At 47.2% G+C, this 10,802-nt stretch overlaps 2 annotated features.

The window, feature by feature from the left end:
- Window positions 6,895–7,394: an enhancer, noted in NCBI's record as "H3K4me1 hESC enhancer chr7:135023873-135024372 (GRCh37/hg19 assembly coordinates)". NCBI's record gives its function as "activates a minimal SCP1, AML or CMV promoter by ChIP-STARR-seq in naive H9 embryonic stem cells {active_cell/tissue: H9 hESC(naive)}" and the evidence as "EXISTENCE:reporter gene assay evidence [ECO:0000049][PMID:30033119]".
- Window positions 7,395–7,896: an enhancer, noted in NCBI's record as "H3K4me1 hESC enhancer chr7:135023371-135023872 (GRCh37/hg19 assembly coordinates)". NCBI's record gives its function as "activates a minimal SCP1, AML or CMV promoter by ChIP-STARR-seq in naive H9 embryonic stem cells {active_cell/tissue: H9 hESC(naive)}" and the evidence as "EXISTENCE:reporter gene assay evidence [ECO:0000049][PMID:30033119]".

Here is a 10,802-nt window from a genome sequence, read left to right as displayed (position 1 = left end):
ACAGATAAAAATTTAGGAGTTGTCAATATGTGGCTAGTATGGAACTGAGATCACTTAGGGAGGAAAAAAGGAGCCATAAGTGGGATCTTGGAGAACATGAACTGGTGAGACTGAGAAGGAACAGAGGGAAAGGAGGGACCGGGAAAAAAAATGGTTGCATGGAAACTCTCGAGAGAAATGTCATGGTCAACTATGTCAAGCGCACTGGAGGCCACATGGGACAACGACTGAAAGCAATTCATAGATTTGGAAATTTGGAGGTCACTGATCACCTTTTCCAGAGGGAAGGTAGAAGTATGATTATAATGGATCAAAAAATGAATGGATGATCTCACTTCTATGTGGAATCTTAAAATGTTGAGCTCTTAGGGGTAGAGAGTAGAGTGGTGGTTACCAGAGGCTGGCCAGGTGGAGTGAATGGGAACAGGAGAGATGCTGATCAAAGGGGACAAAGTTTCAGTTAGACAGGAGGAATGTTTTAGTGGTCTATTGCACAGCATGGTGACTATTGTTAATAATAATGTATATTTCAAAATTGCTACAGCAGGACTATTCAAAACATTCTCACACCAAGAAATGATAAGTATGTGAGGTGATGGATATTTAATTAGCTTGATTTAATGATTTCACAGTGTATAAATTTGTACTCCATAAATATATACAATTATTATTTGTTAAATAAAAATTAAAATTGATTTTTTTAAAAAAGGGAATGGGATACAGCAATGAAAAGAAATGAACGATAGCTATGCAACAAGATGGACTAGTCTCACAGCACACTGTTGGGAAAAAGAAAGAAGCAAGATGCAAAAGAACACATAGGGTCTATTCCATATCTGTAAACGTTTAATCTTAAAAACCGGTAAAAGAAAACTACGTAAGTGATATCATGAAAGAGAAGAGTGAGCGCAGGATTATTAAAAAGTGAGAAAGTTGCTTACTTCTAGAAAAGGTGGGGGTTGTGATCAGGGAAGCCATGGGACAGGGATTCTGAAATATGTATGTTGATACTTCTTGACCTATATGACTACAAGAGTGCTTACTTTAAAATTATCCACGATATGTGTGTGAACAAATTTCATGCGTGCATCTTTCTTTATGTAGATTATACTTCACACAAAATATAACCAGGTCAACAGTCTTATATCTGCTTCTGAAACTATTCAGAGAGCAAATTTTCAAGCAGCAAACAAAGCTTTAGTTTGTGGTGCTGCTTTAATGTAATTATATCATCGCCTTTGACCAAATCCTCCTGAAGAAGAAGAAATCCTTTCCTTTAGTCAGTTTCTGTTAATGAGGAAGGCAAGCTTAATAACTTGGTGGCAACATCACTATCGCTAGCACACTTCACTGGCAAGGTTAGCATCAATTTCATATTGGAACTCTGTAGTATGGTGATCAGAGAAAAAAAATAACATCTAAAAGTGCTGAGAAATCAGTTTCCACACTCTAATGTTAAAATTTGAATACTGTACATTCTTAACTCTTTATGTTGAACTAGTTTTAGTATTTTGGAAAGTTGCAAAACAGTACCGAGAATTCCCATATATCCTTCACTCAACTTCTCCTAATGCTAACATGTTACAGAACTACAGGACAGTGACCCAAACCAGGAAATTAACATTAGTGCAGTACTAACACACACACATGCATGTGCGCACACACACACGTGCACACACACACACATTTAGTAATAAAATTATTGAGAACCTTTTAATGTAGTTGGCAGTCATTTGGATTTTCTTTTCATAAGGTCTGCTTGGATTCTTGGCCAATTTTTCTCTTGGGTTGTCTAATTTTTTTTTCAAATTGAATTTGTAGTTTCCTGGTGGTCCTCATTCAAGAACTGTTGTTGGGATATTTATGTATCAATTCATTTAGGGTGACAATAATAAACCCATACATGTTAGCACAGTTAATGTATTTGATGAGGAATACCTATATTTTCAGGAACAAGAATCAGAGTAGAAGGTGGCACTAGTTTTTGCATTTTTGTGAGTTTCTTTGATGTCTGGCTTGGTGGAGGATAGCTAAATTCTCATACCTGCTTCCTCATTCAATTTGTTGGGTTATGTTTTTTTATTTGGCTTTTATTCAATGGTGTTGGCGTACCAGAGTTTATTCAGCCATTTTCCAATTGGTAGGCGTTTACTTCTTCCAGTTTTATAATTTTTGTGTTGTTTTTGCTACTATGAATAATGCCGCATTAAACATCCTTGCATGTTTTTAAAAAAGTGAATGGGAAGTGAAGAAACGGAGGTAGTCAGTGGAGACTAACATTTTAAAAAATACACGATTCTTCATCTCCTTTGCAAATAACACTAAAAGTTTTATTATTAACTCTCATTCTTCATCTCTTTATGTGTTCACTCTTAATTTCCATTAAAGTACACTCTTACTTGTTTGACTGTTAGTTGTTACTATCTTCAGCAAAACCTCATATCTCTGTTACACCCTCCATTCCTCTTCTCCGGTCTAAATGTGAGACTCTTCAACTAAAGGAGATAGGAAACCACTCAATCGAATATTCTCTTATAATTCCAAATGGTCCTGTAAAGATAGCTCATTCTTCAGTGGGCAGCACCCTTCATGTCCTTAGAGAATCCCCTCAGTAATGCCCATGATGTCCTCCTCTTCTTAGGTGAGGATGGTTTTCTTGACCAGCCGTCAGGACTTAAACGTTACCAGTGGTTGGGATACGCACGGTTGACATGTGACACACTCGATGTTAGGAAACCTGGACCCCACTTCTGTGGGACCTCTACCACCTGTGTGACCACTGAATACCTATGTTGCTTTGCTTTGTGGGTCAGTTTCCTCATCTATAAAACGAGGGATTTGCAGTAAGTAATTTTGAAAATTCTTCCCTGTTCATTCTTACTTCAATACCTTGCAACTGTGGCATCCATTTGCCAGATGATTGGCCAAGGCCACAGCTGTCGTGTATGACTGGGAATGTGGCAAAACTAGCTGGTCCATACTGGGACTTGACCTACAACTCACTTGTGCAGGGTGCTACTCAGTCCTCTTCCCTGGGGTGGGGGTGGAGGGCTCCAAGGCCTCAAGGCTTATCCCAATCAATGAAGCCCTTCTCCCAGGCTTGCTTCTTAGGGCCATGGTGTTGGTTGATGGATTAGTTGAAGGCAGGAGCTGATCTGGAAACCCTGGCAGGGAGGAGGTGGGAGAAAGATGTGGGGCCGAAGAGACCTAAAAAAGTGACATGAGATTCTCCTGGCTGCCTCACACAGACAGCGTCCCTTTCCTGTGCCACGATGGTGCCCACATTCAAGTCACGCATGAGGACAGGCTGGCTGAATGACAGTGGGCTCCTAGTACAAGCCTCTTAAAATAGCAGAGGTAGGGCTCCATTCCAAAACAGTGACAGTATCAGCAAGTTAATTAAGAGATCTGCCAGGGACGATGCGAAACCTGGCATGTGGCCCATTCAGATCAGCGCTGCTCAAGATGAACTGAGCGGGTGTTTGTTTGTCAGGCTGAGCTAAGTCAGGCTGAGAGAACAGCTCCCCGGAGAAGGTTTCATGTCAGATATTCAGAAAACTTCACTTCTCGCCGGTACATATGCTCTCAGATCAGATGACATTTTGATGGAAAACTGTGTAGGATTTCCATTTAAGTATCCAATATCACAGCCAGTTTGCATCATGCCTTTTGATTTTCTTTTAATGTAGCCTATCTAAATTTCATGATGTTTCATTTGGAAACTGGTCCTTGTAGGTGGATACTGCCCATCGTTAGGTTTTAGATGAAGTAAGGAAAGTGCAATCGCCTTCTCAGTGCAGTGACGGTAGAAGAAAGGGAAGGACATGTAGGGCAGGGGTCAGGGAGTTGAGCAAGTGGTTGGGAAAAGGGGAAAAGTGAAGAGGAAAAAGAAATGGGGGAAAATGGGCCTGCTCCTCCATGGGTTGTAGATCCCTGGTCTGCATGTGAATGCTGGTCTCTGGGCCAGCTGCTGTTGGAGGAGGTGTAGTCCTCCCCCACATCCAGCCACTTTTTCCCTATGGGCTGGAGTCCTGCATGTCCAGCTGCTGGCTGGCTATTTCCACTCAATGTCCACCGTCCCTTCACACCCAGTATGCATGAAACCTTCCATTTCCCCCAACACACTCTGCCTCTCTGACCCCTGTTTCTAGGCTGCCTTTGTCAGTACTGGCGAAGTGTGGAAGGGTGTGGGCAAGCCACGGCCAGGGAGTGACCCTGGGCTGTAGCCTCCATCTTACACTGAGCTGGGCCTTTCTGGGAAGACTCCAGACCTTTTTGGGTTGGGAAACACAGGTGGAGCATTACCATTACCTGTGTGAGCTGCCTGGCAATTCTGCCTGAGCAACTCAGAGCATGATATCGGACACATGCAAAGTTATCAAGATTTCAGTTTTGATTGGTCATGAGAGAAAACTCTGTTCACAAATGCCCAGCTTAAAAGTTTTTTTAAACTTTTAATTTTTTTCAGCACATGCCCACTGTAGCCAAACACTCTGTACCTCTTGCATCCATGAGCTGACAAATGCAAACCTTTTTCTATCTTTGCTGCTGATTACTTTTATCTGGGTTATTATAATTTAGTAGCTGTGCACAATATACATATATATTAGAGATGGGGTCTCACTCCAGGCTGGAGTGCAGTGGCATAATCATAGCTCACTGAAGCCTCAGACTCCTGGGCTCAAGCAATCCTTCCACTTCTGCCTCCCAATTTGTTGGGATTACAGGCATGAGCCACAGCATCTGGCTCTTCCAATATTTTCCCATTGCTTCTCTGGACCCATTTTCCACCCTTCTCCATCCTATGCTCTGCCCTGGAGGCCAACCTATCTGGGCTACACCAACAGGTTCCTGTGCTCTCTGGCTTTGGTTGAGTTTGGCCAATGGGGAACACAAGTCAAATATTAGAGGAAAGAAGGAGAGTGAGGCCATAATCTTTAGTCTCTTGGATCCCTACCCGGGAGAAAACTGGAACCCCTCAGCCAAAGGTCACACATTCTCAACTTATTTTCCTCAATGTGACTTTCTCCTCCTAGGGACCAGTCCCTTTTCTCTCCTTTGCCCTTGGATCTAAGGGTGGTAACAGTGCCTTCACTGTTACTAGCCCTGGGTTACTGGATATCCAATATAGTTCTCCCATATTCTACTTCCACCTTTGTAAATGATCTGATTTGATTGCTGGGAGTCTGAGTGGCGGAGAGTTGCACAATAGGGGCAAGAGGACAACTTGGGAGGGGACTTGGGAGGCACTGTTTCCGAGGCTTGTAGTTCCGCCTGCTGGCCACCTGTTAGTAGCAGAGTGAGCGGCTGTGCTGCCCTACCAGGATCATCCTTAGGCCTTGCTAGAGGGGCCCACTCTGGCCGTCCTCTGGGTATGCCCTCTACATGGGGCAAAGAATCTGGGGCCAAAGGAACATGCCAACCTGGACCCCTCTGTATAGACCACACTCTCATTCTAAGATTCTGCCACTTGCAGAGCCTGTGCAAGCCTCTTTCTCAGGTGTGCACTCCTAGGCCTCACAAAAGAGTAACCAAGGGAAGGTGCTGGGGAGGGGGAACATGGAAGAGCTCAGATGTTAGGACAGGGATGTCCATTTGCACACACCCAAGGACTGTTGTGTGGGATGGAGCAGGGGGTGGGCTGTAAGCTGAGGTCTGTTCTCCCTGTGCCACCCCATTTGAGCACAGAATTCAAGGAGTCTGCATTCCAAATGCAAGTCAGCTACCAGGTGGTTTTGAAGGTATATTCATCAAGGTTGGGCGATGGAGCATATTCATTTCACAGTTAGCTGGCCTTGTAACTTTTCAATCCATAGACACACAGTGTGTAGTACGTAAGCCTTCATTTGGATCTGTGCCTCAGGCCTGCAAACAGCATGGGTGGGGGTCTTCAGAGGAGTCCTGATTGCTCCTGTTCCATGGCAGGCAGCCTGGCCCCTTTCTAAAGATTTCCTCATTAACCCTTGCAGTGAACTCAGCCTTCTTATGAGGTTCTCTTAAGTCCAGCTCCATTAGGAAACAGATACCGTGACTTAGGAAGACTTTTCTGACAATGGAGTGAAGGCCATTACAGGGGCTGAGCTTGCGGTCAGAATCCCAGTCAGGTGGCTTGTACTTTCCAGCTCAAACAAGAAAAGGCAGGGATTGGGCGCCTTGCGGGAAGGAGAAGACAGAACAGATGGCCATGAGTGACAGTTTCTCTCTCTTGCCACAGAATTTGAAGGGGATGCCTCCTGCGGAGGGCAGTGTGCCCTAAGTCACCCCTGCTGTACTCACAGGCCCATAGCAGGAGCCCAGGCATGTGGGCATCTTGCCCCAGCTCCAGGGATTCCAGCTGTGCCAAGGAAGCTCTGTGGGTGGCAGGCAGCTGTCTGGGGAGGCTAATGCGGCAGAAGCAGATCCTTGGCTTCTGGAGCAGGTGGATGCATGTCGAAGCTACTGATAGGGCCCCTGGTGCAGGCACTTTTGGGGGTGACCCTGGCCTGCCCATTGGCGTGAGGAGGCTACCCCAGACTGCTGCAAAAAAGGAGAGAATAAGGGAGGAAATGAGAGGGAGCCTGGATGTGAACAGGTTAGAGCTGTGGCTGGGCTGGATGGGGTTGTCCTGGCTCACATGGACACGGATGCTCCTTCTGACTCCTAGGAGAGCTTGGGTCTCTTCTCCTAGTGTTCTGTGGCTGAGGGGATGGGCACTTTATCTTGTGACAAGCCCCTCCACTGCTTTCTTCCTGCTCCCGCCAATGTATAGATGACAAGTGCCAACAAGGGCAGAGTCCTGCTCCCTGCCGGAGCCATTTTCCAGCCACACTCCTCCTGCTCCCAATCACCATCAACAGGAAGCTGTCTGACCATCTAACTGAAGGCCTTGACCGGCCATTGGAGTGAGGTCTGCATTGTCTTAGTGTGTTCAAGGCAAGCAAAGTCCAGGTAACCAGTTCCTGGGCATAAAATGGGAGGAAGAGAGGGGTAGGTGGTACCTGCTTCTGGTGACACGTGCTCAAGGCCCAGATGTGTTCACCCTCCCCCTGCACCATGAGGTTGGCTGGAGAGGGGAGCCATTGAGGAAACCCAGGCAGGGCCTGAGTGGGGAGGCAGGGAGATGCTCCAGGGAGCAAAGCCCACCCTGCAGGGGAGGCTGGGAGTGCATTAGAGCCCTGGCACCTGGAAGGGAGACTCTTCATGGAGACCTGGAGGGTGCTGGCAAGAATGTGGCTGGAAGAAACTGGTCCTGAACCCAGTGTCTGGGCCACATCCGGCACTCTCAGTTCAGTGCGCTTCTGGTCTGAAGCCACCATTCAAAACTGGGGGCTCAGTTTCTGCACGACCCATACTGCCACCGCACCTGCTCATGCTTCTGGGTCCCTGGGAGTCAGGCTGAAAGCCTGGCTATCGGCCAGTGAGGGTGAAGAAATAAATGGCACTGTGGGGGCAGAGAGGTGGCTCCAGGACCCCTGCACATCCTTCTCCATGGGTCCTAAGTACCTCTAGGTGCCAGGCTCTTCCTCTTGGCTGGGGCTGCCTCCCTGGGTGGTAGCTGGGGGGCAGAGAGGGCAGGCCTGGTCCTGGAAGGGAAACTTTGAGAGCCACGTTGGCTGCGTGGGCTTCCCACCAGCACAGCCTGTGCTTCGGGGCCCCCGAGCCTCTGAGAGTGAACTTCAGCATGTGAAGGGACCCCTTCTTCACCACCAGCTGGCAGATGTGGGGAGAGGAATGAAGAGGTTGCCCAGCCCCCACCCGTTTACTTAAAAAAATCACAAGATCTGTACACTTAGAAAAGGAGACTTTATTTTTTGTAAAGGGTTACAGCCCGCAAAGTGCCTATCCCGCAGGCTGGGAAGTGTAGCCCCCAGCCAAGGCCAGAGACAGGCCCTTAGGAGGAGGAGGAGCTGGGGCAGGGCTTTATGCGGAATGGGTTGGCTAAACATATGTATTCAACAGGTTACAGAAGGAACTATGAATACTCATGAAAGTGGTCCTGACGCACTGGATTAAACATGCATGTAACATGCGACCCATGTTCACCTTGGGGTGGAGACTTAACATTTAAATGCACTACAGTTAGGCCCTACACGTCAAAAGTTGAGCAGAGACACAAAGGCACTCAAGTGTGCAGCCTCTGTAAACCGGCCAGAACCAGTCCATGGTCAGTGGCCTTCTTATTCAGGAGAGTTACTGCAATCAGCCTCTTGTCCAATGAAAGCTGTGGTTATGGCTGGTAGAACAGGAGGTTAGTCCATGCCTGTGAGCTGCAAGTGTTGTAATTGTTTCAATATTGCTTATCTTGAGGCCACTGCTTGTTTAGTGGCTGGAGAAAAGGAAGACCCTTGTGGCAGTTGGACATAGTTTATTCTTTAAGTGTGGGGGGTGCATGACTTAACTCTTCTCTGGCATGGTCCTAGGTCCTGTTGATAATTTGGTATCTTATTGCCACAAACAGTCTGTTCCGTCAGGCTTATGACCTCTGTTGTAGCATTAATGCTGCTCAGTCATTGTGTCTAAACTGCAAAAAGGAGGCAGGTGTAATAGTTGTGTCTGATCTCAGTTCCATGATAGCCAGGAATTTAGTTTTTCAAGATTCTCCGGGCACCCCTTGGCCAAGAGGGGATCCGTTCAGCCAGTTGGGGGGCTTAGGATTTTATTTTTAGTTTACACACCTTTCCTGTGTCTATTCCCCCCAGGGTCAGATCAAGGCCCAACATGACACATATCGGCCCTGCCAGTCTTGATGCATTGGTCTGGCTTATGTGGTTCCAGTGGTCCTGTCTGGAGGGAGCCCAGCCAGGGGCTGTGCTGCCGAAGGGAGGCATGGAAGGAAGGCTGGTCCTGGCCCCCAAGGGCCCCTTTCCCACTGCTTAGTGCCCTTCCGCCTGGTCCCGGCTTCCTCTCTCTGCTCAAGGATCTCACTCAACAGTTCTTGAATCAGGTGGGACCACAGTGACTGGAACCTTAGCCCGGGAACCCTAACAATGTGGTTCTCCCCTTCTTCCAGCTGCTGTTCCTGGACTGACCTGTGTGCCCTTGAGGCAGGTACCTTGAGGCTATTCTTAAGATGTTATTGTCAGGCAAGTGGCCTCCTGTCCACTCCTCATGCTGTCCTCTTTCTCTGGGCCTTCTCATCCACGCCTATGATGTCAGTGACCATGTATGCAGAGTTGACTCTCAGTGTTGACATCTCCATCTCTCTCCTGGGAGACCCTTTGTATGTACATATGCCTCCTTGACATTCTCACTTGGATGTCTCAATTCTCCTTGAACTCAACAACTGCATGTATGTTCATCCACTCCAAGCCTGGGCCTCTTCCAGTTTTCTCTAACCCAATACAAATCCCCACCTTCCATCACATCAAAAAGCCCCAAAACCCCATGCCATCTCTAATACTTCCTTCTCCCTTATTCCACCCCATGGCCAATTCATCACCAAGTTCTGTTGACTTTACCTTCTAAACATTTCTTCCCATTCAGTTTTGCCCATCTTCACCTTCACCATCACTTTGGTCTGAGCCACCACCTTTTATCATCTAGACCCCTAGCCTCCTCCCTGGCCTTTCTGCATTCATTCTTCCCCTTTCTAGTCTGTTCTCTACACAGCAGCCAGAGCAATCTTTTTGGAACATAAACCTGCTCATGTCACCTCCCTATTTAAAGCATATCCATGACTTTCCATTGCTCTTTAGATAAAAGACAAAACTCTTAACATGGCCAACAAGGCCTTGCATGTCTGGCCCCTGCCCACTCCTCCAGCCTCAATTTGCAGCCCACTCCTCCTCACTCCCTGCACTCCAGGCTTCTTTTAGTTCCTTGAGTGTTTTTGTGCCTTTGCACAAGCTGCTTCCTCTGCCTCAAACCCTCTCAACTCATCTACCTATACCAAAGCACAGTCATTATTTTCTCAGGGAAGCTCTTTCTGGCTTCCTTGACTAGGTAAAAAAATCTTCTTATAATAGTCTCACAGTACCATTTGCCTGTTCTTCATAGCACTTATCACATCTGGAATTACGGATTGATCTGTAGTATTATTTGATTAATGCCTATCTCTTCTACCAGACAATTAGTTTCATGAAGGCAGAGACCTGTGGGTCTGCTTTTGCTTGCTGTGATATACCCATCACCCAGCACGATGCTCAAATCATACCAAGTGGTAGTAAGTGCTCCAGAATGTGTTGAGTGGTGAATGGGTGGGTGGCTGGAAGGAAGAAAGAATGCAGTGAAGGAAGGGATGCCCGTTTCCTAGGCATGTTCGAACAAAACCCCACAGCTAATATTCTCTGTTAGGTTTCTGTTATTAGTTGCAAAGGCTTTGTAGGTTGGGAATACTATCTTTTATCTCCTTGCCTTCTTTTTGTAGGAGAGAAGAGAAATCGACAATTTGATAAAGGCCAGGACTTGAGGCTTGCCTCAGGGAAACACCATTAGAGGCTTGGGATGTCACCTGTGGTTGGTGGCTGCGTGAGCTGTGGCCTTAAAGCCCCTGAGACAGCAGACGTGCAAAGTCAGGCCCTGCCATCGACATCCAGTCTGGCTCGCCATTTCTCCCATCCTAGGATGTCAGCACCATGGACAAGACCCAAGCCGAGCCCTGGAAGGTGGGGTCTGTGGGGAATTCTGGTGAAGCAGGGGGCAGGCCCGTGCCCGTCTCTAGGTGGAAGGGAGCTGGTGTACGTTTCTCCACTGGGTGTCACTGCTGCCCTTGTTTTCTGTCACCTGAGGCTCTGGCAAGCTGCAAGGTGATGAATCAAAGACCGCCCCTCCCCCTCCTCCAACAAGGGATGGGGAAGGAATTACCTGGATCAACTTAGAGAATG

Source organism: Homo sapiens, chromosome 7 (assembly GCF_000001405.40).
Source record: "Homo sapiens chromosome 7, GRCh38.p14 Primary Assembly".
Classification (NCBI taxonomy): domain Eukaryota; kingdom Metazoa; phylum Chordata; class Mammalia; order Primates; family Hominidae; genus Homo; species Homo sapiens.
The sequence above is the reverse complement of the archived record's forward strand: the minus strand, read 5'-3'. Positions and strand labels throughout refer to the sequence as shown.